The 27,993-nt window shown below is 52.2% G+C and overlaps 1 protein-coding gene and 1 pseudogene across 7 annotated transcripts, besides 3 other annotated features; one reads left to right on the forward strand and one right to left on the reverse strand.

Annotated features, from left to right (window-relative positions):
- ITGAX (integrin subunit alpha X) lies at window positions 16–27,839 on the forward strand. Of its 7 annotated transcripts, NM_001286375.2 has the most exons (31): window positions 16–131; window positions 733–838; window positions 1,465–1,568; window positions 1,871–1,941; window positions 2,093–2,204; window positions 4,540–4,670; window positions 4,760–4,905; window positions 5,150–5,303; window positions 5,903–6,053; window positions 6,676–6,749; window positions 6,915–7,044; window positions 7,451–7,593; window positions 7,775–7,915; window positions 8,005–8,214; window positions 15,924–16,054; window positions 16,174–16,337; window positions 16,470–16,624; window positions 17,218–17,349; window positions 17,437–17,510; window positions 18,089–18,230; window positions 21,639–21,755; window positions 21,840–21,919; window positions 22,022–22,105; window positions 24,408–24,486; window positions 24,597–24,704; window positions 24,822–24,905; window positions 25,106–25,219; window positions 25,363–25,464; window positions 25,737–25,847; window positions 26,643–26,736; window positions 27,308–27,839. In NM_001286375.2, exons 1-31 carry the CDS (start codon window positions 95–97, stop codon window positions 27,334–27,336), a joined length of 3,510 nt encoding a protein of 1,169 aa, NP_001273304.1. In that variant the 5' UTR covers window positions 16–94; the 3' UTR covers window positions 27,337–27,839. The 7 variants fall into 7 exon arrangements, with proteins under 7 accessions (NP_001273304.1, NP_000878.2, XP_047290030.1 ...); NM_000887.5 differs by having other exon boundaries at window positions 26,643–27,839; XM_047434074.1 differs by lacking the exons at window positions 25,106–25,219; window positions 25,363–25,464; window positions 25,737–25,847; window positions 26,643–26,736; window positions 27,308–27,839 and having other exon boundaries at window positions 22,022–22,113.
- On the reverse strand, window positions 5,560–6,544 carry LOC100422479 (integrin subunit alpha X pseudogene; annotated as a pseudogene).
- Window positions 13,399–14,005: an enhancer, noted in NCBI's record as "NANOG-H3K27ac hESC enhancer chr16:31379880-31380486 (GRCh37/hg19 assembly coordinates)". NCBI's record gives its function as "activates a minimal SCP1, AML or CMV promoter by ChIP-STARR-seq in naive H9 embryonic stem cells {active_cell/tissue: H9 hESC(naive)}" and the evidence as "EXISTENCE:reporter gene assay evidence [ECO:0000049][PMID:30033119]".
- Window positions 26,947–27,447: an enhancer, noted in NCBI's record as "H3K4me1 hESC enhancer chr16:31393428-31393928 (GRCh37/hg19 assembly coordinates)". NCBI's record gives its function as "activates a minimal SCP1, AML or CMV promoter by ChIP-STARR-seq in naive H9 embryonic stem cells {active_cell/tissue: H9 hESC(naive)}" and the evidence as "EXISTENCE:reporter gene assay evidence [ECO:0000049][PMID:30033119]".
- Window positions 27,448–27,948: an enhancer, noted in NCBI's record as "H3K4me1 hESC enhancer chr16:31393929-31394429 (GRCh37/hg19 assembly coordinates)". NCBI's record gives its function as "activates a minimal SCP1, AML or CMV promoter by ChIP-STARR-seq in naive H9 embryonic stem cells {active_cell/tissue: H9 hESC(naive)}" and the evidence as "EXISTENCE:reporter gene assay evidence [ECO:0000049][PMID:30033119]".

The raw sequence follows: 27,993 nt of genomic DNA on the forward strand, positions 1-27,993 counted from the left end.
GCCACCTCTCTGCCCACTTGCTTCCTCAGTACCTTGGTCCAGCTCTTCCTGCAACGGCCCAGGAGCTCAGAGCTCCACATCTGACCTTCTAGTCATGACCAGGACCAGGGCAGCACTCCTCCTGTTCACAGGTGAGCCTGGACCCCAATGAAGTAGGGCTGGGGACCCAGGCCCAAGGGAGCCAGGGCCCTGAACTGGGGGCTCAGGCTGGGGGGTTAGGATCTGGGTAGGAAGAGAGACTCAGTCAAGCCTGAGGGGGAGGCAGGCACATAGGGTCTGAGATTTGGAGTTTGTGGAGGGAGAGGATATTGATGAACCAATTTTGGGAGAGTTCCAGAGATGCTGGAAGAGAGGCCAGTTGTCTCTGTACTGCAGAGATTTTTAAAATAGGCAGAATGCGCCAACTTGTGCTCTGTGGACAGGATGCTTTGGTCCGCAAGTTTTCCTGGACTCACTCTCATAGCGCCCGAGGTGCACGTTGGGGAAAGATCCTTTTTAGAGCCTGGGTACTGCTCTGCAGAAATGGAGAACTGCAACTCGATAGTGGATGGTGGGCAAGGGGCATCCCTGGACCCTGGGAAGGAGAGAAGGGGATGAGTTGGGTGTCCAGAAGACCCAGGCACCCCGGGCATCAGGCTCGGAGGGGAGATTGGGACGCTGGGGCCGGGGGTGGAGGGCAGCCAGGCAGAAGGAAGACCCTTCTCCAAAGCTCTCTTCCCACCTCTTTCCCAGCCTTAGCAACTTCTCTAGGTTTCAACTTGGACACAGAGGAGCTGACAGCCTTCCGTGTGGACAGCGCTGGGTTTGGAGACAGCGTGGTCCAGTATGCCAACTCCTGGTGAGGCCCAGGTGGTGCTGGCCTTTGGCTCCATCCATCCTCTCCCTGCTCAGGGCCCCATGCCCCCGGCCCTGCCCTGTTATTTGCAAACTCTCCTCTCTGTCTGGTGTAGCGACTGCCCTGGCTAATGAAGATTTGCCTTGAAGGCAGGCACGGTCTCACAGCTAACATTTACAGAGCAGTAAGTGCAGTGCCAGGCTCATCACAGGTGGATGCTGATTTAGTCCACACGACAGCCTGTGAGTAGGAATCAGTCGTGCAACAAACACTTATTTGTTTTTTCTTTCTTTTTTTCTATACATTTAAAAATATATAGAGACAGGGTCTCACTATGTTGCCTGGGTTGGTCTCAAACTCCTGGGCTCAAGCAATCCTCCCGCCTCAGCCTCCCAAAGTGCTGGGATTCCAGGTGTGAGCCACCACACCCAGACTCAACAAATATTTCTTGTCTCCATACGCCAGAGAATCCAACAGACAGAAATCCCTTCCACATGGACTTTAAATTATTAAAATCCATCTTGCAGATGAGGAAGCTGAGGCTCAGGGAGGGAACGCAAACTTGCCGGAGTGGCAGCTGTGCTGCAGCGTCCACACTCTTACCTAAAGTGTTCTTTGTCTCCTCGCAGGGTGGTGGTTGGAGCCCCCCAAAAGATAACAGCTGCCAACCAAACGGGTGGCCTCTACCAGTGTGGCTACAGCACTGGTGCCTGTGAGCCCATCGGCCTGCAGGGTGAGTCACCGCCCCTCCCGGGACCCAGGGCCGGGCTCCCAGGCTTCCCTGCTCCAGGGGCCCGTGGACTCACCGGAGTGTCACTTTCAGCTTCCACTGTGTCTGAGACCCTCACCCTCAGATATGCTTCCTGGCCCCTTAAGGCCTCCCCGCCCATCGCACTCCCGCAGCTCTGTCAAGACCCGACAGCTTCCTTCACCGTCAGACCTCCTTGTCTCCCAGGTGGAGGTGACCCCTGCCCAGCTCTTCCACAGCCTTCTCTGTACCCCCGAGAGTGACCATGCACATATCTGTCCCCACAGTGCCCCCGGAGGCCGTGAACATGTCCCTGGGCCTGTCCCTGGCGTCTACCACCAGCCCTTCCCAGCTGCTGGTGAGTGGCCCTGGGTCACAGGAGGCTTCTGAGGGAGGGAGGGAGGAGCCGGGGCCGCGGGGGGCTGGGAGTCTCCTGTAGGGTGGAGGTTCCGGAATGTGAGGGTGGGAGGAAGCAGGGGCAGCCCCCCAGCAGCCCGCTGTGTCCCCAGGCCTGCGGCCCCACCGTGCACCACGAGTGCGGGAGGAACATGTACCTCACCGGACTCTGCTTCCTCCTGGGCCCCACCCAGCTCACCCAGAGGCTCCCGGTGTCCAGGCAGGGTGAGTGTCGGGACCACCAAGGCTTTGAGGAGCTCACGCACATCCAATTGGGGGTGCGGTGGGCTAGAGACAGTCTTGCCAGAGTGGATCAGAAAGAAGGGATCTGGAAAAAGAGTTACCACGTGTTGCAGTGGTTCCTGACGCTGCTGCCCGCACATCCTGCCGATCGCCCGCACGCTGCCGGACCTTTCCTGTGACCTTAACCTCTCCAAGCCTCAGTTTCTTCATCTGTTGGATGGGGATAATAACACACCCAGCACTGAAAGCAACACAGGATGATTCATGGCCAGGGGTTAGCACAGCAGCTAGCACCAGGCGACAGCCCCATGAAGGCCAGCTGTTGTTATTTTTAGAGGAGAGGATCTATTTTCATCCAATGGGTCCTGGGATATGACCAATTGGTTTGTGCCGTAGTTTAGGAAAGGTCAGTGAAAGTGCAGTGTGAGCAACGTGTGTGTGTGTACATGTGTGTATATGTATGCATGTGTATACATGTGCACATGCACACATGTACATGCATGTGTGTGCATGTATGTGTGTGTGCGTGTGCACATGCAGGTTGAGACGCAGGGCCTGACTTCCCTGGTGCTGATGGGGAAGAAAGATAAGGAAGCAAAACAGTGGGCTTTGGCAGGCTGAGGCCTCCCCCTGGTTTCACATTTGCTCTCAAGCCTTTGGTGAGACTGACATCTGGCTGCAAATAGGGTGTGCCTTCCAGCACCTCCGTGGGTCCAGACTCCATCCACAGGGGCCTGGGCACCCATCAGAATGCCCAGGACACCTGTCTCTCCGGTGGAGGCCTCTGGGGCAGAGGGGATGCTTGAGAGGTCACATGGAAGGGGGTTTCCTCTCCAGGTGCTGGAAGATCGTCTCTTCTCAGGACAGATGCTAACTTCACACAGGAGGGGAGTGGGGGCCTGTATTTAAGCTGAGAACAGAACAGGCCCAGTGTGTGGCTGTTGCCTGGGATGATTTGTTTAAAATATTAACAATCAAGGCAAGAGGGTTGTTTGAGGCCTGGAGTTTGAGACCAGCCTGGGCAACATAGTGAGACCTCATCTCTACAAAAAATAAATATAAAATACAAAGTAGCTTGGCATGCTGTTACATACCTCTAGTCCTAACTACTGGGGAGGCTGAGGCAGGAGAATCGCTTGAGCCCAGGAGTTGGAGGCTGTAGGGAGCTTTGATCACACCACTGCACTCCAGCCTGGGTGACAGAGTGAGACTCCATCTCAATTAAAAAAAGAAATTTAACAAAACTACCATTCAGCACTGAGCAGTGAGGACAAACACTGGCTAGGGACTGGTGCCAGTTTGTGTCATTGCTGGATGGGGTGACATTGAGGGAGGAAGGAGGGGTGGGTCCAGGGAGGGGCACAGATATCCAGGGTGGTGGAGGGGTAGGCCCTCTGCTTCCTACCGTCTGAATTGGAGAAATCTTCCTGGTTTTTTTTTTTTTCTTTTTTTTTAGAGATAGTCTTACTCTGTCACTGAGGCTGGAGTGCAGTGGTACAATCACAGCTCACTGCAGCCTCCAACTCCTGGGCTCAAGTGATCCTCCCACCTCAGCCTCCAGAGTAGCTGGGACCACAGAGAAGAGCTACCATGCCCAGCTGATTTTTAACAATTTTTAGTAGATGTGAGGTCTAACTATGCTGTCCAGGCTGATCTTGAAATCCTGGGCTCAAGCAATTCTCCTGCCTAGGCCTCCCAAAGTGCTTGGATTATAGGAGTAAGTCACTGCACCCAGTCTGACCTTCACTCTTTTGTTGATGGGGCTGAGCAGCTTCATCACAGCCTTTTTCATTTTTTATTTTTTTGAGATGGAGCCTCACTCTGTTGCCAGGTTGGAGTGCTGTGGTGCGATCTCAGCTCACTGCAACCTCCACCTCCCAGGTTCAAGCAATTCTGCCTCTGCCTCCCAAGTAGTTGGGACCACAGGCGCGTGCCACCACACCCACCTAATTTTTGTATTTTTAGTAGAGACGGGGTTTCACCATGTGGGCCAGGATGGTCTCGATCTCCTGACCTCGTGATCCGCCCCCCTCGGCCTCCCAAAGTACTGGGATTACAGGCGTGAGCCACCACGCCTGGCTCATCACAGCCTCTTTAGGCAACTTTAAGAGAATGAAGGGCCTTGTTCCAGGCAAGGGGTTAGGGAAGCTCTGCCCCTGATGAGGAGAGGACCCAGGGTGTGGAGCCTGACTCCCATCGCCAGACTAGGGGCTTAGGGGAGGAAGGGTTTTGGGAGAGTGAGCTCTTGTGGCCAGGAGGCCACGGTCCTGGACTCCAGGAGTGTCACTTGGAGGACCGGTGCCACCTCCTTCCCCAGAGTGCCCAAGACAGGAGCAGGACATTGTGTTCCTGATCGATGGCTCAGGCAGCATCTCCTCCCGCAACTTTGCCACGATGATGAACTTCGTGAGAGCTGTGATAAGCCAGTTCCAGAGACCCAGCACCCAGGTGTGCCTTTGGGGGAGGGAGGCTGCTGGGGGTGGGTGCTTCGATCCTGGTGAAATGGCCTCAGCCCCAGCCCTGTGTGCTTCTCCCAGTTTTCCCTGATGCAGTTCTCCAACAAATTCCAAACACACTTCACTTTCGAGGAATTCAGGCGCAGCTCAAACCCCCTCAGCCTGTTGGCTTCTGTTCACCAGCTGCAAGGGTTTACATACACGGCCACCGCCATCCAAAATGTCGTGTGAGTCCTGATTTCTTCCAGGCACAGTCCCAAAGCACCCAGGTCTTCCCTTGGGCCTCATCTGTCTCCACGAGAAGGGGACAGGCAGGGACCAAAATCCAGCCCGTGATACCCTTGCCAAGCTGGGGCCTCTGGGTGGGACTGGGGCCTCCCAAAGGAAAAGGCATCTTCTAATTTTCACAAGGGCACCAGGGGCTAGTGTGGTTTGGTTCACAGGCCTCTAAGACCTCTCCTTTCCTGATAGGCACCGATTGTTCCATGCCTCATATGGGGCCCGTAGGGATGCCGCCAAAATTCTCATTGTCATCACTGATGGGAAGAAAGAAGGCGACAGCCTGGATTATAAGGATGTCATCCCCATGGCTGATGCAGCAGGCATCATCCGCTATGCAATTGGGGTAGGGCGTGGGATGGCTTCCCACTTCTCCCACGGCTTCCTCTCAGGGCAACTCCCCTTTCTGTGTATGTTCTTTTCTCTTTGAGACAGGGTCTTGCTCTATCACCCAGGAAGTGGTGCAATCCTAGCTCACTGCAGCCTTGAACTCCTGGGCTCCAGTGATCCTCCCACCCCAGCCTCCCCAGTAGCTGGGACCACAGGTGTGTGCCATCAAGCCTGGCTATTTTCTTTTTGGTTGAGATGGGGTCTTGCTATGTTGCCCAGGCTGGTCTCAAATTCCTGGCCTTAAGCAATTCTGCCACCTTGGTCTCCCAAAGCACAGGGATTACAGGCGTGAACCACCGCCAACAACATCCCTTTCAAGGATAGAAACACCAGCTCTCTCGGCTCTTACTGCCTTAAGGATGAAAACTCTGCCCCAGACTGGAGACCATGATCCTTTCTCCTAAACTCCCTGATGCTGTCCGGGCTTCGTGTTTCTCCTGTGTCCACCGGGTGTGATCATGTTGATCTTGTGGGGTTATTGGAAGATGTTGCACCCAGTGCACACAGGCACATTTGATTTATTATTTTTACTGAGTTGATCTTTTCTGGGGACAGGTTGGATTAGCTTTTCAAAACAGAAATTCTTGGAAAGAATTAAATGACATTGCATCGAAGCCCTCCCAGGAACACATATTTAAAGTGGAGGACTTTGATGCTCTGAAAGATATTCAAAACCAACTGAAGGAGAAGATCTTTGCCATTGAGGGTGAGTCTGAAGGGAGCTCTTCGCTTGGGGAATCCTCAGCCGTTAACACCTTTCCACTTAGAACCCGAGGCTCCGTGAAACAGGTAGACAGCGTCTCGGTTCTCCTGCTTTCCCGGGACCCCGATAGCCATGTCTGTCAGCTTGTCCCCACTGACGTCCCCCAGCACTGTCAGAGCTGCCCCAAAGTGGCCCCAGGGATGGCCCTGCTCCCCACAGAGAGTGATCTCACACCACCACCGGCTCCACTGCAGAACAAAAAGCAGTGCCAGGCCCAACCCAGGAGACCCTTCCACCCACACCGGGCCCTACCCAGCCCACATCCCACCAGCCACTCACTCCCCTGGGCAAGGGGCACACGGACACCTGGCCCCCTCGGGTCTGCTTGTAGACCTGTGGGGGGCCCTGATGAGGACCAGATCGGTGCTGCCATCGCTGTCCACATCCATGGAGCAGAGGGGGGCCCCGAAGTCGGAGCTGATCTGGAGGGCAGAGCCTGGTCCCTGTCACAGGCACCAGCTCTCCCTGTAGCCTCCAGTCTTAGCTTCTCCTAAAGCTGAAGTGTTCTTGGACCTGGCAAAGCCCGTCTCCCTCCCTGGCACTCAAGCGTCATGCCTTCCCCCAGGTACGGAGACCACAAGCAGTAGCTCCTTCGAATTGGAGATGGCACAGGAGGGCTTCAGCGCTGTGTTCACACCTGTGAGTGGGGCCCCTTAGGCCGATGATGTGCCGTGAGGGGAGGGGGAGCAGGGAAGGCCAGGGTGGGTGTCAGGTGGGTAAGAGGCGCAGGCGGAAGGCATATCTCTGGTACATGCTGTCTTCCTGCTCCGGCCTCTGCTCAGCCCTGGAATCCTTTTCTCCCAGGATGGCCCCGTTCTGGGGGCTGTGGGGAGCTTCACCTGGTCTGGAGGTGCCTTCCTGTACCCCCCAAATATGAGCCCTACCTTCATCAACATGTCTCAGGAGAATGTGGACATGAGGGACTCTTACCTGGGTGAGAAACAGCCAGGGGTTGGGGACAGGTGGGAGATGCACTGCCCAGGGTGGGGTCCAGGGTTCTGGGGAAGGGGTATGGGGGCTGTGCTGCCCAGGGTGGGGTCCAGGCTTCTGGGGAGGGAGGATGGGCACTGTGCTGCCCGGGGTGGGTTCCAGGTTCTGGGGAGGGGGGATGGGGGCTGTGCTGCCTGGGGTGGGGGTCCAGGGTTCTGGGGAGAGGGGATGGGCGCTGTGCTGCCTGGGGTGGGTTCCAGGGTTCTGGGGAGAGAGGATGGGGGCTGCATTGCCCAGGGTGGGGTCCAGGGTTCTGGGGAGGGGAGATGGTGCTGTGCTGCCCGGGGTGGGGGTCCAGGGTTCTGGGGAGGGGGAATGGGGGCCTTTGTGCTGAGGCCTGGGCCCCTCAGGTTACTCCACCGAGCTGGCCCTCTGGAAAGGGGTGCAGAGCCTGGTCCTGGGGGCCCCCCGCTACCAGCACACCGGGAAGGCTGTCATCTTCACCCAGGTGTCCAGGCAATGGAGGATGAAGGCCGAAGTCACGGGGACTCAGGTTGGGCGTGACAGGAGCCAGAGGGGAGGATGAGGGTAGGGGAGGTGGCTGGGGCAGAGGAGAGGATGGAGGGGCTTTGAGGGCCTTGGGGGAGGTCCTGGTACCTGGGGAGAGGTGGGACCTGGCCCACAGGGCTGCCTCTGGCAGGGACAGGCAGCATGACCCAGGCTCTGCCCTTCAGATCGGCTCCTACTTCGGGGCCTCCCTCTGCTCCGTGGACGTAGACAGCGACGGCAGCACCGACCTGGTCCTCATCGGGGCCCCCCATTACTACGAGCAGACCCGAGGGGGCCAGGTGTCTGTGTGTCCCTTGCCCAGGGGGGTGAGTGGCTGATGGGCCTGGGGTGGGTGGGGTCTGGTGTGGGTGGAGGGGTTGCCCGGGTTGGGCCTGGCACTGCTTTTTTTCTGCAGTGGAGAAGGTGGTGGTGTGATGCTGTTCTCTACGGGGAGCAGGGCCACCCCTGGGGTCGCTTTGGGGCGGCTCTGACAGTGCTGGGGGATGTGAATGGGGACAAGCTGACAGACGTGGTCATCGGGGCCCCAGGAGAGGAGGAGAACCGGGGTGCTGTCTACCTGTTTCACGGAGTCTTGGGACCCAGCATCAGCCCCTCCCACAGCCAGGTGAGGCCGTGTCCCATTTCTGTCACTAGAGCAGCCTGCTTCTTGCCTCTCCCACTCTGTCATACTGGAAAACTGTCCCTTTTTACCTTTTCCTACCTCCCTTGCCCAGCTCTGAGCACCTTGTAGCAGTGGCGTGGTCTCAGCTCACTGCAACCTCCGCCTCCCAGGTTCAAGCGATTCTCTGCCTCAGCCTCCAGAGTAGCTGGGATTACAGGCATGCACCACCATGTCCGGTTATTTTTTGTATTTTAGTAGAGACAGGCTTTCGCCATGTTGGCTAGGCTGGTCTTGAACTCCTGACCTCAGGTGATCTGCCTGTCTCGGCCTCCCAAAGTGCTGGGATTATAGGCGTGAGCCACCATGCCCAGGCCCCTGCCAGTTTTACAAGGTACACAGGTCAGGCACAGAAAACCCATTTTACAGATGGAATCTGGGACACTAGGAAGACAAGGGCCTTGGTTTGTTGGAGGTTCAGAGTGGGTCCGAGATGGTGAAGGGCACTCCGGCCTCCTGACCTCTAACCCGGTGTGCAGTCTCCCGGCTCCCTGCTGCTCACCACTTAGGTCCAGTCATTTCAACCTTCCCTTCCACTCGCCCCTCTCCTCCCTGGATGCTACATGATTTTATTCCCTTCCTGCCATCAAGGTCCCACCAAATGCCCATCCCTGCAGCCGCCCTCCACCCCAAGGGAGCAGGGTTCCCTGAGAACGAAGGGCTGCTTTTCTTGGCAAAAGTCAAGAAAGCTCTGTTAAAAAATAGGCAAAGGGGCTGCTCCAGGTGGCTCACATCTGTAATTCCGACACTTTGGGAGGCTGAGGCAGGAGGATCACTTGAGGCCAGGAGTTTCAGGCCAGTCTGGGCAACATAGGGAGACCCCATCTCTAGAAAAAATTTTAAAAATTAGGCAGGCATTGTGGTGCTGTAGTAACTGTAGTCCCAATTACTCGGGAGGCTGAGGTGGGAGGTCACCTGAGCCCAGGAGGTTGAGGCTGCAGTGAGCTATGATTGCGTCACTTCACTTCAGCCCAGGTGAAAGAGCACAATCCCGTGTCAAAAAAAAAAAAAAAAAAAAAAAAAGGGCAAAGGATTTGGATAGGGTAGACGTTTCTCCAAAGAAGAGGTACAAAGGGCCAATGGGTGCATAAAATGATTCTCAATGTCATTAGTCATCAGCAAATCAAAACTATAATGAGATGCCACTTCTCACCTACTAGAATGGCTAGAAACAAAGGCGGATAATGACAGGTGTTGGTGAGGATGTGGAGAACCGGGCATCCTCCCCCATGCTGGGGATGATGTAAATCCACGCAGCTGCTTTGGAAATCAGCATGGCAGGTCCTCAAAACATTAAACATAGGCTGGGCACAGTGGCTCATGCCTGTAACCCCAGCACTTTGGGAGGCCGAGGCAGGTGGATAACCTGAGGAGTTTGAGACTAGCCTGGCCAACACAGTGAAACCCCATCTCTACTAAAAATACAAAAAAAAAAAAAAAATTAGCTGGGCATGGTGGTGGGTGCCTGTAATCCCAGCTACTTGGGAGGCTGAGGCAGGAGAATCTATTGAACCTGGGAGGTGGGGGTTGTGGTGAGCCGAGATCGCGGCACTGCACTCCAGCCTAGGCAACAAGAGCAAAACTCCGTCTCGAACAAACAAACAAACAAAAAGTTAAACATAGAGTTGCCATGTGATCTGGCAATTCCACCTATAAAACATGCTAAGTGAGGGAAGCCAAACACAGAAGGCCACATGTATTCAGGCCAAATGTCCAGAACAGACAGATCTGTAGAGACAGAAAGTAGATGAGCAGTTTCACAGGGCTGGGTGTGGGGGAAAGTCAGGGGCATGAGGGTGACTGCTAATGGGTGTGGAGTCTCTTTTTGGGGTAGTGGAAATGTTCTAAAATTGATTGTGGTAGTGGTTTCACAACTCTCTAAACATACCAAAAGGCACTAAGTCATATACTTTAAAGGGGTGAGTTGTGTGCTATGTGGTCTATAGCTCAAAAAAGCTGTTACCAAAAAGAAAAAAGTGCCAAGGAAGGTCCCTGCAGTTCTGTCACACACCAGCTGTGTGATCTTTGACAGGTAACTCACCCTCTCTGTGCTCAGTTTTCTCACTGGTAAAATGGTGATACTAATAGAACCAACCTTATTGAGCTGCTGCTGTGAGGATTAAATGAGTTAGTATGCATGAAGTGCCTGGCACACAATAGGTATCATGTTGTTATAATCTGTTTTAATTATCATTAAGATAGTTTAACAACTGGCCAGGCGCGGTGGCTCCCGCCTGTAATCCCAGCACTTTGGGAGGCTGAGGCAGGCAGATCACTTGAGGTCAGGAGTTCCAGACTAGGCTGGCCAACATGGGGAAACCCCGTCTCTACCCAAAATACAAAAATTAGTTGTGCGTAATGGCGCATGCCTATAATCCCAGCTACTTGGGAGGCTGAGGCAGGAAAATGGCTTGAACCCAGGAATCGGAGGTTGCAGTGAGCTGAGATTGCGCCACTGCACTCCAGCCTGGGTGATAGAGTGAGACTCCATCTCTAAACAAACAAACAAACAAAAAACACATAGTTTAACACCTGAAGGGGAATCTAAAGAAGAGGGTGAAAGACTGTTGAGAATAACAAGGGCCCACGTGTTGTCATGAAACTGCAAACAGTTCGTACCAATTCCCACAACCCATCACATGCAGGCATACCTTGTTTTATGCGCTTTGCAGATACTGCATTTTTTACACGCTGAAGGTATGCAGCGACCCTGCACTGAGCAAGTCTATCAGTGCTGTTTTCCCAGCTGCATGCACTCACTTTGTGTCTCCGTGTTACTTTGGTAATTCTCACAATGTTTCAAACTTTTTTGTAATTATCATGTCTGTGATGGTGATCTGTGATCAGTGATCTTCGATGTTGCTATTGTCCTCTTTTTGGGGCACCATGAAGCACGTCCGTATATGAAGGCGAACTTCATAAATGTGTGTGTTCTGACTGCTCCACCACTGATAGCTCCCCTGTCTCTCTCTCCCTCTCCTGTGGCCTCCCTATTCCCTGCAATGCAATGATATTGAAATTAAGCCAAATAATAACTCTACAATGGTCTTTAAGTGTTCAACTGAAAGGAAGAGTCACATGTCTCTCACTATTTATTTATTTATTGAGGCAGGATCTCACTCTGTCACCCAGCCTGGAGTACACTGGTGTGATCTTGGCTCACTGAAACTTCCCCCTCTGGGGTTCAAGTGATTCTCCTGCCTCAGCCTTCTGAGTAGCTGGCATTACAGGTGGGTGCCACCATGCCTGGCTAATTTTTGTGTTTTTAGTAGAGATGGGGTTTCACCATGTTGGCCAGGCTAGTCTGGAATTCCTGACTCTAAGTGATCTGCCTGCCTTGGCCTCCCAAAGCACTGGGATTACAGACGTGGGCCACCACGTCTGGCCACATATCTCTCACTTTAGATCAAAACCTAGAAATGATTAAGCTTGGTGAAGAAGCCATGCCAAAAGCCAAGATGGGCTGAAGGCCTTTTGCACCAAACAGCCAAATTCTGAATGCAAAGAAAAAGTTATTGAAGGAAATTAAGAGTGTTACTCCAGTGAACATATGAATGATAAGAAAGTGAAACAGCCTAATTGCTGATATGAAGGAAGTCTGAGTGATCTGGATAGAAGATCAAACCAGCCACAACATCCCCTTAAGCCAAAGCCAAATCCAGAGCAAGGTCCGAATGCTCTTCAGTTCTATGAAGGCTGAGAGACGTGAGGAAGCTTCAGAAGAAAAATTGGAAGTCAGCAGAGGTGGAAGTCAGCAGGGTTCATGAGGTTTAAGGAAAGAAGCAATCTCCACAACATAAAAGTACAAGGTGAAGCAGCAAGTACAGATGGAGAAGGCGCAGCAAGTTCTCCAGAAGATCTCTGATGAAGGTGGCTACACTCAACAACAGGTTTTCAGTGTAGATGAGATGGCCTTCGATGGAAGAAGATGGCATCTAGGACTTTCAGAGAAGTCAATGCCTGGCTTCAAAGCTTCAAAGGACAAGTTGACTCTCTTGTTAGAGGCTAATGCAGCTGGTAGGACTTCAAGTTGTAGCCAGTGGTCATTTACCATTTGGAAAATTCCAGGGCCCTGAAGAATGATGCTAAATCCACCCTTCTTGTGCTCTAGAAATGGAACAAAGCTGGGGTGACAGCACATCTGTTTATAGCATGCTTGACTGAGTGTTTTAAGCCCATTCTGGAGACCTGCTGCTCAGAAAAATAGATTTCTTTCCAAAGTTTGCTGCTTATTGACAGTGCACCTGATCACCCAAGAGCTCTGATGGAGATGTTCAAGGAGATTAGTGTTGTTTCCATGCCTGCAAACACAACACCCATTCTGCAGTCCATGGACCAAGGAGTAATTTCGACTTTCAAGTCTCATTATTTCAGAAATACATTTCATAAGGCTATAGCTGCCATAGATAGTGATTCTTCTGATGGATCTGGGCAAAGTCAATTGAAAACCTTCTGGAAAAAAATTCACCATTTTAGATGCCATTAAGAACATTCATGATTCATCAGAGGGGGTCAAAATATCAACATTAACACGAGTTCGGGAGAAGCTGATTCTGATTCTCATGGATGACTTTGAGTGGCTCAAGGCTTCAGGGGAGGAAGTGATTGCGGATGTGTGGAAATAGAGAACCAGAATTAGAAGTGGAGCCTGAATTGCTGCAGTCTCATGATGAAACTTGCACAGATGAGGACCTGCTTCTTACAGATGAGGAAAGAAAGTGTTTTTTTTTTTTTTCAGATGGAATCTATTCCTGGTGAAGATGATATAAATATTGTTGAAATGACAACACAAGATTAAGAATATTACATAATCCCAGCACTTAGGGAGGCTGAGGTGGGCAGACCACCTGAGGTCAGGAGTTCAAGACCAGCCTGGCCTACATAGGGAAACCTCTCTACTAAACATCTCTACTAAAAAAATTAGCTGGGTGTGGTGGCAGATGTCTGTAATCCCAGCTACTCAGGAGGCTGAGGCAGGAGAATCGCTTGAACCCCTCAGGCAAAGGTTGCAGTGAGCCGAGATCACACCACTGCACTCTAGCCTGGGCGACAGAGTGAAAGTGTGTCTCAAAAAAAAAAAAAAAAAGAATATTATATAAACGTAGTTGATAAATCAGCATAGAATTTGAGAGAATTGACTCCAACTTTCTTTTTTTATTTTTTATTTTTTATTTATTTTTTTATTTTTTATTTTTTTTATTGATCATTCTTGGGTGTTTCTCGCAGAGGGGGATTTCGCAGGGTCATAGGACAATAGTGGAGGGAAGGTCAGCAGATAAACAAGTGAACAAAGGTCTCTGGTTTTCCCAGGCAGAGGACCCTGCGGCCTTCCGCAGTGTTTGTGTCCCTGGGTACTTGAGATTAGGGAGTGGTGATGACTCTTAACGAGCATGCTGCCTTCAAGCATCTGTTTAACAAAGCACATCTTGCACCGCCCTTAATCCATTTAACCCTGAGTGGACACAGCACATGTTTCAGAGAGCACAGGGTTGGGGGTAAGGTCACAGATCAAGAGGATCCCAAGGCAGAAGAATTTTTCTTAGTACAGAACAAAATGAAAAATCTCCCATGTCTACTTCTTTCTACACAGACACGGCAACCATCCGATTTCTCAATCTTTTCCCCACCTTTCCCCCCTTTCGATTCCACAAAACCGCCATTGTCATCATGGCCCGTTCTCAATGAGCTGTTGGGTACACCTCCCAGACGGGGTGGTGGCCGGGCAGAGGGGCTCCTCACTTCCCAGTAGGGGCGGCCGGGCAGAGGTGCCCCTCACCTCCCGGACGGGGCGGCTGGCCGGGCGGGGGGCTGACCCCCCCACCTCCCTCCTGGACGAGGCAGCTGGCCGGGCGGGGGGCTGACCCCCCCCCCCACCTCCCTCCCGGACGGGGCAGCTGGCCGGGCAGAGGGTCTCCTCACTTCCCAGTAGGGGCGGCCGGGCAGAGGCGCCCCTCACCTCCCGGACGACTCCAACTTTCAAAGAAGCTCTACTGTGGCCAAATGTTATCAACCAGCATCGCATGCTCCAGAGAAATTTCATGAAAGGAAGAGTCCATCCAGGCAGCAAACTTCCTCACGGTCTTATTTTAGGAAATTGCCATAGCCACCCCAACCTCCAGCAGTTGCCACTGTGATCAGTCAGCCGTGTCACCATCAGGCAAGACCCTCCACCAGCAAAAAGATTATGCCTTGCTAAAGGCTTAAACGATTGTTAGCATTTTTTACCAATCAAATATTTTATTTTTATTTTTGAACTTTTAGATTTAGAGGGGGTACACCTAGCCTTTCTAGACTCCCTCAGTAATTGGTAAATTTCTCTTTTTATTTTGTTATTATTCCTTTTTTTCTTTTCTTTTTTTTAATTTTTATTTTTTAGAGACAGAATCTCATCATGTCACTCAGGCTGGAGTTCAGTGGCGCAATCATAGCTGACTGCAGCCTCGAACTCCTGGACTGAAGAGATCCTCCTGCCAAAGACTCCTGAGTAGCTGGGACCACAGGCACAAAGCCAGTGTGCCCTGCCCATTATTATTACCTTTTTTTTTGAGACAGAGTCTCGCTCTGTCACCCAGACTGGAGCACAGTGGTGCAATCTCCGCTCACTGCAACCTCTGCCTCCCGGGTTCAAGTGATTCTCCTGCCTCAGCCTCCTGAGCAGCTTGGATTGCAGGTATGTGCCATCATGCCCAGCTAATTTTTGTTTATTTAGTAGAAACGGGGTTTCACCATGTTGGCCAGGCTGGTCTGGAACTCCTGACCTCAGATGACCCACCCGCCTCGGCCTCCCAAAGTGTTGGGATTACAGGTGTGAGCCACCGCGTCCAGCCATTATTATCACTTTTAATGGCTGCTAGTTCCAGGGTGCACAGAGATTTAAAGGGCACATTCTTCCAGGGATTGGGCATAACATGAGCACTGGGAATGAAGGTGATAGGTTCTACAGGGGAGGCAGTGCCTGGGAGGGTGGATCTGGGTGTGGGTGCGACCACTCCCTACCCCACCGCGGCTTTTTCTTGTCCTTTGAAGAGACAGAGTGACAGCAAGAAACAAAAAGGGGACTTGGGCCTGGGGTTGGACGGTCTGGTGTTAGGTCTGCAGTCAGCCTCTTAAAGGCTACCTGGGGTTGACACTGTCCCCAACCTCTCTCCTGCATCTTTGCAACGAGGGAGGTGAGGTTGGACAAACTCTGAGGTCCCTTTCAGCCTTAATACTCATTGTGATATATTATTGACTGCTGGCTGTATCCTGGGTGCTGTTCTAAGAACCGTAGGAATTCCTCTCCTGAGCATGGCTAAACTCTGAGCTAATAGTATCATTATATGAAAGATGAGGAAACGGAGGCACAGACAGATTGAGTCCTTGCCCACGGCCTCGTGGCTCATACGTGGAGGAGTCAGAATTGGAACTAGAGACTGATCGAATGAATGACACTCGGGTCACCAGGACACCCTTCCTATCTCCACTCTTACATCTGTTTCTTAGCAATCATCTCCCAACTCCTACCTCCTCTTTTCAGGTTCTTCTTGGTGACATCTGTTCACAACTCACCCCTTCTCTCCCTTTCCGATGGTCCTACCTCCATATTCCCCTTGTTACTTATTTCCAACTTCTTCCCCTACTTTCCATCTTGATTCACCCTTCTCTCCTCTGGCCAGCGGATCGCGGGCTCCCAGCTCTCCTCCAGGCTGCAGTATTTTGGGCAGGCACTGAGCGGGGGTCAAGACCTCACCCAGGATGGACTGGTGGACCTGGCTGTGGGGGCCCGGGGCCAGGTGCTCCTGCTCAGGTGAGAGCAGCCTTTCTCAGAGGCTCCCCAGGTGGTCCTAGGTTCAGATGGGGGTGCCCACCCCACGTGGTGCTCCCAGGAGCCGACGGCCTGTCCTCAGCTCGGTGCTCTGCCCGCAGGACCAGACCTGTGCTCTGGGTGGGGGTGAGCATGCAGTTCATACCTGCCGAGATCCCCAGGTCTGCGTTTGAGTGTCGGGAGCAGGTGGTCTCTGAGCAGACCCTGGTACAGTCCAACATCTGCCTTTACATTGACAAACGTTCTAAGAACCTGCTTGGGAGCCGTGAGTCCCCTCCCCTCCAACCCAGGACACCCTGACCTCTGGAGTCCCCCATCCCAGGCCCCTGTCTCCCACCCTGCTCATTGTCCACCCAAGGAGTTCCTGTCTCAACGCCGTCCCTGCGACCGCCTACAGGTGACCTCCAAAGCTCTGTGACCTTGGACCTGGCCCTCGACCCTGGCCGCCTGAGTCCCCGTGCCACCTTCCAGGAAACAAAGAACCGGAGTCTGAGCCGAGTCCGAGTCCTCGGGCTGAAGGCACACTGTGAAAACTTCAACCTGCTGCTCCCGGTGCGTCTGGGCATGAACGTGGGTGGCGGCCGCGCTGGGGCTGGCAGAAGGCAGGGCAGGGAGAGAACAGGCTGTGTTCCGGCCTCCCTGTGGCTCAGCCCAGCACAGGACCAGCCATGCAGGACGTGCTTACTGCACGTTAGCCAGTGAGTGAGTGAGCGAGCAAACAAGTGATGAGATCGGCTGCAATTTCCAGGGGCCACACGATTGGATTTCAGGAAAGAGAATTGGGCAACCTGAGAGAGCTCTGGGGCTTCCGGCTGGGCTTTTTTTCAGGCATTCACTGGACAGGGGTTTATCGAGCTGCTCCTGGGAGACAGGCCTTGCCCTGGGGGCCAGGGGCATAGGTGGCCAAAACAGTCATTGCTGATCGGGAGGTCTGGGGGGGGGGAGGAAAAAAACAAAGACAAACAAGGGGAGAGAACAGAGAGGGTGTCAGGGAGGCCTCCTGAAGGCGGTGACGCTGAGCAGGCTCTGGAGGAAGCTGAAGCCGCGCGGGAGCTGGGCAGAGGCAGGATAAGAACTGCGGATGAGGCCGAGCGCAGCTCTTACCCTCCCCTTACCCTCCGCTCCCCGCGACGCCCGTCCCCCAGAGCTGCGTGGAGGACTCTGTGACCCCCATTACCTTGCGTCTGAACTTCACGCTGGTGGGCAAGCCCCTCCTTGCCTTCAGAAACCTGCGGCCTATGCTGGCCGCCGATGCTCAGAGATACTTCACGGCCTCCGTGAGTCCTGGCACTGGGTCTCCCAGAGAGGGTGCACAGCGTGGGGCCTGGGTCTCGGAGAAAACCCCCCGTTGCCTTCCCACGCAGCTACCCTTTGAGAAGAACTGTGGAGCCGACCATATCTGCCAGGACAATCTCGGCATCTCCTTCAGCTTCCCAGGGTGAGCGCCCCCACCTTAGACCTGCCCTACTGCCCCAGCCTCCTTCCTGGAATCTGGGACTCCTGCCTCTGGCTCTCCCTAACATTGTCTCATCCTATAGTCAAAACCCAGGTGTCTTGGCTGGGCACAGTGGCTCACGCCTGTAATCCCAGCACTTTGGGAGGCCGAGGTGGGAGGATCTTTTGAGGCCAGGAGTTAGGGATCAGCCTGGGCAACAGAGCGAGATCCCATTTCCACAAAAACAAAACAACAACAACAACAACAACAACAACATCACTTGAGTGTGGTAGAGCATGCCTATAGTCCCAGCTACTTGGGAGGCTGAAGCTTAAGGATTGCTTGAGCTCTGGAGTTGGAGGCTGCAGTGAGCCATAATCACACCACTGCACTCCAGCCTGGGTGAAAGAGCAGGACTCTGTCTCTTAAAAAAAAAGAAGAAGAAGAAGAAGAAGAAGAAGAAGAACCCAGGGGTCCGTCCCCTGTCTATCTCCCAAATCCCCACCCACCCCATTTTATCCCAGACCATTTCTAGCCTCAGTCACAGAATCATCTTCTCCTTTCCTTCACCTGATACCCAGCTTGAAGTCCCTGCTGGTGGGGAGTAACCTGGAGCTGAACGCAGAAGTGATGGTGTGGAATGACGGGGAAGACTCCTACGGAACCACCATCACCTTCTCCCACCCCGCAGGACTGTCCTACCGCTACGTGGCAGAGGGCCAGGTGCACCCTCTGGGGAAGGAGGAGGAGGCAGGGCTGGGCGTTAGCGTAGATTCCCGTGCGGTTCAGAACCCGGGCTGGGCTTGGAGGTGGTAGTGCCATCTGGGGCACGCCTCTGCTCGTGTGGGTGTTCAACTTTGGGCATCGCAGTTTAAGGACACTGACTATCAGGAATGATTTCCTGAGAGGCCACTAATGTGGAGACAGAGGGGAACCTGCCCAAATTTCTTTCTATTCCATATTATATCAGTATTCCTCTTTTAAATGAAAACATACCTCAGCCTTCAAATATTTTAAAACACTGTTCTGTAGAAGCAAGGGGTTGAATTTATTGGTCACTCTACATTAAGGCTTGGCGACCTTTTTCTATAAAGGGCTAGATAGTAAATATTTCAGCTTCGTGGTCTGCGTGGTCTGTGTCACAGCTGCTAACCTCTGGTGTTGTGGAATGAAAGCAGCCATTGACATGAATGAGTTTATGAGTGAATATACCTGCGATGCAGTAAAACTTTATAAAAATAGGTAGTGGCTGTTGGTTGCCAATCCCTGCTTTAAAATGCAGAACTAGGACCACGGGGAGTCAAAGAGAACCAGATTTTTTAAACAAAGATGTTATTATGGCTGGGAGTGGTGGCTCACGCCTGTAATCCCAGGACTTCGGGAGGTTGAGGCAGGCGGATCACCGGAGGTCAGGAGTTTGAGACCAGCCTGGCCAACATGGTGAAACCCCATCTCTACGAAAAATACAAAAATTAGCTGGGTGTGGTGGCAGGTGCCTGTGATCCCAGCTACTGGGGAGGCCGAGGTGAGAGAACTGCTTGAACCCGGAAGACGGAGGTTGCAGTGAGCTGAGATTGTGCCACTGCACTCCAGCCTGCACAACAGAGCAAGACTCTGTCTAAAAAAAAAAAGTTATTATGAAAAATTTAAAACATTTACAAAAGTAGAAAGTAGTTCAACAAACCTCCCCAAAACTTGTCACCTAGATTCAACAATTAGCAGCATTTTGCCACATTTGTTTCATCAATTTTTCCCCTTTGCTAAGGTATTTTCTTTATTTCTTTATTTTTGAGACAGGGTTTTGCTCTGTCACACAGGCTGGAGTGCAGTGGCACAATTTCAGCTTACTGTAGCCTTGACCTCCTGGGCTCAAGCGATCCTCCCATCTCAGCCTCCTGAGTAGCTAGAACCACATGCACACACCACCACACCTGGCTAATTTTTTAATTTTTTTTGTAGAGTTGGGGTCTTACCATGCTGCCCAAACTGGTCTCTAACCCCTGGGTTCAAGCAGTCCTCCTATCTTAGCTTCCCAAAGTGTTGGAGTTACAGACATGAGCCACTGTGCCTGACCTGCTAAAGTATTTTAAAACAAATCTCAGACATGGGGGTCATTGTACTCCTCCTTATTCACTCTGCTATGGTTTGAATGCATCACCCAATGTTCGTGTGTTGGACACTTAATCCCCAATGCAACAGTGTTGAAAGGTGAAACCTTTTAAAGGTGATTAGGTTATGAGGGCTTTGCCCTCATGAATGGATGAATACTATTATCTCAAGAGTAGATTAGTTATTTCAGGAGTGGGTTTCCTTCCTTCCTTTCTTCTTTCTTTTTCTTTCTTTCTTTTCCTTCTTTCTTTCTTTCCTTGAGAGGGTCTTGCTCTGTTGCCCAGGCTAGGGTGCAGTGGCACGATCTTGGCTCACTGCAGCCTCTGCCTCCCGAATTCAAGCAATTCTTGTGCCTCAGCCTCCTGAGTAGCTGGGATTACAGGTGCCCACTGCCACGCCCAGCTAAGTTTTGCATTTTTAGTAGAGATGGGGTTTCACCATGTTGGGCAGTCTGGTCTTGAACTCCTGACCTCAAATGATCCACCCGATTCGGCCTCCCAAAGTACTAGGATTACAGGCGTAAGCCACGGAGCCTAGCCCAGGAGTGGGTTTCTAATTAAAGGATGAGTTTGGCCCCCTTTCCCTCTCACTCTCACATGCACTGCCTTGCACATGCAGCACAAAGGCCCTCACCAGATGCTGGTGCCATGTTCTTGGACTTCCCAGCCTCCAGAACCACAAAGCTTCTATTGATACATTACCTAGTTTGCGGTAATCTGTTATAGCAGCAGGGAACAGACAAAGACACACTCTATAGTTCTGAACAATGAGGACCTCTTATATGACCTCAACACCATTATCACACCCAATGAAATAAGTGATTCCTTGGTATTAAGATCATAGTCAAAATTGTGTAACTGTCTCAAAAATATCTTTTTACTTCTGGTCTATTTGAACGAAAATTCGAACTAGGTCCATACATGATGGTTGGTTGTTATTTCTGCTGTCTCTCTTAGTCTAATATTCCCAGCGGAAGCGCATTTTGATTAACGTATAAAAGAACACAGCAGGAAAGGCCATCTCTTGCATGTGAGGGGTGATCACTGTCAATGAAAGTGCTCCTAGACATATCAACCAAATGTAATGGGTGGACCTTTGCTGAATATTGATTTTAACAAATGAGCTGTAAAATAACATTTTTGGAGACAATCTAAGAAAATAGAACATGACCAGTATATTGGTATATTAAGGAGTAATTGTTAATTTTGTTGGCTGTGATTTGTTGGTTCTTGTGGTTACATTTAAAATACCCTTATCTATTGGTGGTATACACTGAAGTATTTCTAGATGAAACAATATGGTGTTTGGAATGTGCTTTAAAGTGTTCAGAAAGAGAACATAGCAGAAACAAGAGTAGAAAAATGTTGGTTACTTAAAATGAGTGATGGTTATATGGGGTTGATTTTCCAGTCTCTCTATTTTTTAATGTGTTTTAAATTTTCCATTATAAGAGGCCTTTAAAATAACAATAAAAAGGTGAACATTTTAATACATTTGAGATTTCTACTTTGGAAGAAAGTTTGACCAGATAGCTATGGGGGAGCTTTTAAAAACGTAACCTTGGCTGGACATGGTGGCTCATACCTGTAATCCTAGTGTTTTGGGGGGACAAGATGGGAGGATTGCTTGAGGCCAGGAGTTCAAGACCAGCCTGGGCAATATAGCGAGGTCCCATTTATAAAAAAATTTTTTTAAAATTAGCCAGGCATGGTGGTGGTGTGTGCCTGTAGTCCTAGCTACTCAGGAGGCTGAGGCAAGAGGATGGCTTGAGGCCAGAGTTTGAGGCTGCAGTGAGCTGTGATTGCATCACTGCTTTCTAGCCTGGGTGACAGAGTGAGACCTGGTCTCAAAAAACAAACAAACAAACAAAAACATAAGCTTAAGGTGGGCTCCAGGAAGCTTTATCACTACTTCGTGGCGTGTCTTTGGAATGCTGTTATATTAGGTTGGTGCAAAAGTAATTGGGTTTTTGCCATTGCTTTCAATTTCAACTAATACTCCTCTACTTTTTCTCATGCCTAGAAACAAGGGCAGCTGCGTTCCCTGCACCTGACATGTGACAGCGCCCCAGTTGGGAGCCAGGGCACCTGGAGCACCAGCTGCAGAATCAACCACCTCATCTTCCGTGGCGGCGCCCAGGTCAGCCTGGCTTCTGTCCCCTCACTGCTCCCCTGCCCCACCCTGTCTTTACTGCTCTGTGACCTCTCAGTTCCTTTTCCTCAGATCACCTTCTTGGCTACCTTTGACGTCTCCCCCAAGGCTGTCCTGGGAGACCGGCTGCTTCTGACAGCCAATGTGAGCAGGTGAGCCGGGCCAGGCCAGGGGCAGTGCCCCTCATCTCCAGCCTCACACCCCATTCTCCTCCTCTGGGGCCTCTGGCAACTGAGTCTCTCCTCTTTCTCCAGTGAGAACAACACTCCCAGGACCAGCAAGACCACCTTCCAGCTGGAGCTCCCGGTGAAGTATGCTGTCTACACTGTGGTTAGCAGGTCAGCAGGTACCCCACTGCAGGAAAAAGGGTTCTTCTCTCTGACCTCAAAAAGAAAAAAAAAAAAAGGCCTTGAAACGCTGCCACAGAGGGTGAGATAAGGTGTTTGAAACTAAAAGGTCAGGTGTTTCAGCAGACACCTTCCTTCAGCCAATGCCTTCCTCGAATTTGCTGTGTGCCAGGCAGGGTGCTGTGGTTATTTTCCATACATTCATTTGACATTCATTGAAGATTTACTGAGCCCCCATTATGTGTGATCAAAACCAGACATGAACCCTCGCCCTTGTGGGGTGTGCCTTGCTGGATGTTCTCCTGTGCCTGGTGTTTCCCACTCTCACCTGCACCTGCATGCGTGGAGGCTCCCAGCCAGGTGCACGCTCTGAGCTCGTGTGCTGGGGTGTGCCCCAGGCTCTCATACCCCTTGGCAGGGGACCCACAGGCAGGGCTCACCTACTCTAGGCATGTGTGGTCCACAGCTTGGCCACACATGGCAGGTGTGATCCACAGCTTGGCCACACATGGCAGGTGTGACTCTGTGGGTTAGGGCACAGGGAGTGCCAGGTTGGGGCATTTCTGGGGGAGGCCAAGGTGGGAGGATTGCTTGAGGCCAGGAGTTCAGGATCAGCCTGGGCAATATAGTGAGACCCTAGCTCTACAAAAAATTGGCAGAGGAGGAATGAGGCTTCAGAGTAGGCGTGGTGGGCTGGTGTTTGGACTATGCCAGCTGGAGGACAGGTGCCGGAAGAGTGAAGCAGTGAGGCAGTGGTGAGACTGGCCACCTGTGTGATGGTCCCAGCTGCCCACCAGGTCTCCAGGCTTGTGCCCAAAAAGGGCTCAGGAGGTGTTAAACTGAGACCTCATGAAGAGTCTGCTGTGGGCCCTCCCTCCCCTCCAAGCCCCAGGCCCGGAAAAGCCAAGGAAATGGGAAAAAAGGGCCCCCGGGGAGGTATGTGGGGGACTGGGAAGGGGCAATGCTCAGTAGCATTTGGTCAACAGCGTCAGCCTGGGCCACCCCAACTCTGTGCTGTGTCCCACAGAGCCCTGGCATCCTACATCCCCACAAAGGGATGGAAGGAAAGCGGAGGGGCAGGCCATGGCCCCTGCTCTCCTGCAGTCAGTGGCAGAGCTCTCTGCTCCGTTCATTGTACCGACTACCCGGCCCCACTGGCAGCCTCCTCTGCAGGCAGCTATGAGCTCTTTGCCTCATTTTTTTTTTTTTAAAGCCCAGGTCTTGCTCTGTTGCCCAGGCTGGAGTGCAGTGGTGTGATCACAGCTCACAGCAGCCTTGAACTCCTCTTGGGCTCAAGCGAGCCTCCCACCTCAGCCTCCCAAGTAGTTGAGACTACAGATGTGTGCCACCATGCCTGGCTAATTTAAAAAATTGTTTTGGAGAGATGGGGTCTTGCTATGTTGCCCAGGCTGATCTTGAATCCTGGCCTCAAGTGATCCTCCCACCTCAACCTCCCAAAGTGCTGGGATTGCAGGTGTGAGCCACTGCACTCAGCCAATTAGCACTTGTTTGAAGCCCAGCCCTGCTTTTCTAGACTCTCTCTCTTTTTTTTTTTTTTTGAGACCAAGTCTCACTGTGTTGCCCAGGCTGGAGTGCAGTTGTACCATCTCTGCTCACTGCAACCTCCGCCTCCTGGCTCCAAGCAATTCTCGTGCCTCAGCCTCCCAAGTAGCTGGGATTACAGGCACCTGCCACCACACCTGGCTAATTTTTGTATTTTTAGTAGAGATGGTGTTTCTCCATGTTGGCCAGGCTGGTCTTGAACTCCCGACCTCAGGTGATCTGCCTGTCTCAGCCTGTCAAAGTGCTGGGATTATAGGCGTGAGCACTGTGCCTGGTCTCTAAACTCTCTCTCTCTGTTTTTTTTTGAGAGAGAGAGAGTCTTGCTCTGTCATTCAGTGGCGTGATCTGGGCTCACTGCAACCTCTGTCCCCTGGGCTCAAACAATTCTCCTGTCTCAGCCTCCTGAGTAGCTGGGATTACAGGTGCACACCATCATGCCTGGCTAATTTTTGTATTTTTAGTAGAGACAGGGTTTCACCATGTTGGCCAGGGTGATCTCGAACTCCTGATCTCAGGTGATCCGCCCATCTCAGCATCTCAAAGTGCTGGGATTACAGGCCTGAGCCACCGCGCCTGGCCTCTAAACTCTCTTATAACCTAACTCAGCCACAGCCCTCATTCCAGGACATTCCAAGGCCCCACCGACCACCTGTCCTCTCATGCTCTAGCCAATGCCTTCTGCAGATGCCCCATGGTAGTTCACATCCACTTATGCGTCTTCTCTCTCCAGCCACGAACAATTCACCAAATACCTCAACTTCTCAGAGTCTGAGGAGAAGGAAAGCCATGTGGCCATGCACAGATACCAGGCAGGTGGTGGAGACGCAGGAGACTGGGCTGGGGTGGGAGGCTGGGAGCCGGAGACTGGGGAGGGATTTGGGCTTTGGCGTGGGCTCTGCCCTCAGTGCCCTCTGTGCAGGTCAATAACCTGGGACAGAGGGACCTGCCTGTCAGCATCAACTTCTGGGTGCCTGTGGAGCTGAACCAGGAGGCTGTGTGGATGGATGTGGAGGTCTCCCACCCCCAGGTACCCAAGGACTGCATGTGGCTCCTCCACGAATGCCCTTTCTACCTGGATTCCTTGTGCCCCATGTGGGTCCCTGATGTCCCAGCTGAGACACTTGTTCTCTGCATTTTCCCCCAGAACCCATCCCTTCGGTGCTCCTCAGAGAAAATCGCACCCCCAGCATCTGACTTCCTGGCGCACATTCAGAAGAATCCCGTGCTGGTGAGGAGGGCTCTGGGCTGGCCCTCACTGTAGGCCCCACATCAGAGGAATTTAACCCAGGAGTTCATGTTCCATATCCATCCTGCTGAAGTACCCTCTTGCATTCGGATATGGCCGCTGCCCTCAAGTCACACCGCATAATGCTGCCTCCCACCTTCACACTCATCTTTCTCAGCCCCATGCTATTTATCTGCCCCCAGGACTGCTCCATTGCTGGCTGCCTGCGGTTCCGCTGTGACGTCCCCTCCTTCAGCGTCCAGGAGGAGCTGGATTTCACCCTGAAGGGCAACCTCAGCTTTGGCTGGGTCCGCCAGGTGTGTGGGTGCAACGACAGAGCCCCTGCCCCAGACTCAGGCGGGACCTGGCATGTCTGTGCCCATCTGCAAGCCAGGGCACCCCCAGAGCTCTGAGCCTCCCCCAGAGCCAGTTCAACAGGTTTCCCCCAACCCCTTTGCAGATATTGCAGAAGAAGGTGTCGGTCGTGAGTGTGGCTGAAATTACGTTCGACACATCCGTGTACTCCCAGCTTCCAGGACAGGAGGCATTTATGAGAGCTCAGGTAGAGACCATGTGGAGGGCAGCGACCAGGCTGGAAAGAGGGCCCCTAGGGCTACATCTGTGGTGCTGGGTGGGGGGTTTGCAAGCCTTGGGGGAGGAGGGCGAAGGCCTCTGGGCAGGATAGCTGTCCCTAAGGGCACGGGTGCTGCTGTGTCTCACCTCTTGGAGCAGGGCCTGGGGAAGGAGGGGAGGGAGTTAAAGGTTGGGGAGCCTGGGAGGAGTCTGGGATAGTAGGAGGATGGGAGTGCTCTGACAGGGTCACTTCCACTTCAGACGACAACGGTGCTGGAGAAGTACAAGGTCCACAACCCCACCCCCCTCATCGTAGGCAGCTCCATTGGGGGTCTGTTGCTGCTGGCACTCATCACAGCGGTACTGTACAAAGTGAGTGTTTTATGCCACTCTTGACACCACCAGCATCTGGTCCCGCTCTTTTTGCAGAGTGAGAAGGAGCTCACTTTGAAGGCAGAGGCACATTCTTACTGGGTCACTTCATATGAGAAACTGCTTCCCACCTGCAATGTCACCTGTCCCCAGTGGCCCCCTGCTTTGTGATTCCCAGGCTTCCTCTAATATTTCTCCCTTTCTTTCCTGCTCTTCTCCATCATTCTACGTGTTTCCCTTGACAGCAGATTATCATATAAAAGCACAGACCTGGGTTTGAATGTCGACATCACCACGGGTTCTTTTTGTCTTTGACCATAGGCCAGTGTCTGCTCCACTCTGGGCCTTGATTTCTCAATGTGAAGGTGATTCTACCCCAGCTCATAGAATTTTGGCTAAATCTAGGCTGGGCACGGTGGCTCATGGCTGTAATCCCAGCAGTTTGGGAGATCGAGGCAGGTGGATCACTTGAAGTCAGGAGTTAAGAGACCAGCCTGGCCTACCTGGTGAAACCCCGTCTCTACTAAAAATACAAAAATTAGTTGGGCATGGTGGAGGTTGCAGTGAGCCGAGATCACGCCACTGCACTCCAGCCTGGGCAACAGAGTGAGACTCCATCTCAAAAAGAAAATAATTTTGGCTAAATCTAGATGACATGATGCATATAAAGTTCCTAGTGCAGTGCTTTGAACCTAGCAAGGATTTCAGAAATAGTGACCCCTCTCCCTCAGTCATCTCTTTTCCTCTCTTCCACTGAATGGGCTTCCTGAGTTTCTTCTTCGTCCTCCCCCCTAGGTTGGCTTCTTCAAGCGTCAGTACAAGGAAATGATGGAGGAGGCAAATGGACAAATTGCCCCAGAAAACGGGACACAGACCCCCAGCCCGCCCAGTGAGAAATGATCCCCTCTTTGCCTTGGACTTCTTCTCCCCCGCGAGTTTTCCCCACTTACTTACCCTCACCTGTCAGGCCTGACGGGGAGGAACCACTGCACCACCGAGAGAGGCTGGGATGGGCCTGCTTCCTGTCTTTGGGAGAAAACGTCTTGCTTGGGAAGGGGCCTTTGTCTTGTCAAGGTTCCAACTGGAAACCCTTAGGACAGGGTCCCTGCTGTGTTCCCCAAAGGACTTGACTTGCAATTTCTACCTAGAAATACATGGACAATACCCCCAGGCCTCAGTCTCCCTTCTCCCATGAGGCACGAATGATCTTTCTTTCCTTTCTTTTTTTTTTTTTTTCTTTTCTTTTTTTTTTTTTTGAGACGGAGTCTCGCTCTGTCACCCAGGCTGGAGTGCAATGGCGTGATCTCGGCTCACTGCAACCTCCGCCTCCCGGGTTCAAGTAATTCTGCTGTCTCAGCCTCCTGAGTAGCTGGGACTACAGGCACACGCCACCTCGCCCGGCCCGATCTTTCTAAAATACAGTTCTGAATATGCTGCTCATCCCCACCTGTCTTCAACAGCTCCCCATTACCCTCAGGACAATGTCTGAACTCTCCAGCTTCGCGTGAGAAGTCCCCTTCCATCCCAGAGGGTGGGCTTCAGGGCGCACAGCATGAGAGGCTCTGTGCCCCCATCACCCTCGTTTCCAGTGAATTAGTGTCATGTCAGCATCAGCTCAGGGCTTCATCGTGGGGCTCTCAGTTCCGATTTCCCAGGCTGAATTGGGAGTGAGATGCCTGCATGCTGGGTTCTGCACAGCTGGCCTCCCGCGTTGGGCAACATTGCTGGCTGGAAGGGAGGAGCGCCCTCTAGGGAGGGACATGGCCCCGGTGCGGCTGCAGCTCACCCAGCCCCAGGGGCAGAAGAGACCCAACCACTTCTATTTTTTGAGGCTATGAATATAGTACCTGAAAAAATGCCAAGACATGATTATTTTTTTAAAAAGCGTACTTTAAATGTTTGTGTTAATAAATTAAAACATGCACAAAAAGATGCATCTACCGCTCTTGGGAAATATGTCAAAGGTCTAAAAATAAAAAAGCCTTCTGTGGATATGAGTCCTGAAGGATGACACCCATGGGGTCCCTTTACCACGGTGGACCCTGGCCAGCACTGAGGCCTGGGGCCAGGACAAGAAGTTAACCAGAGTAGGGTTGTGAATATCCCTCTCTTGGAAGTAACCTGACCTCTTAATCTGCTCACTCCA

This window comes from Homo sapiens, chromosome 16 (genome assembly GCF_000001405.40).
Source record: "Homo sapiens chromosome 16, GRCh38.p14 Primary Assembly".
Lineage (NCBI taxonomy): Eukaryota > Metazoa > Chordata > Mammalia > Primates > Hominidae > Homo > Homo sapiens.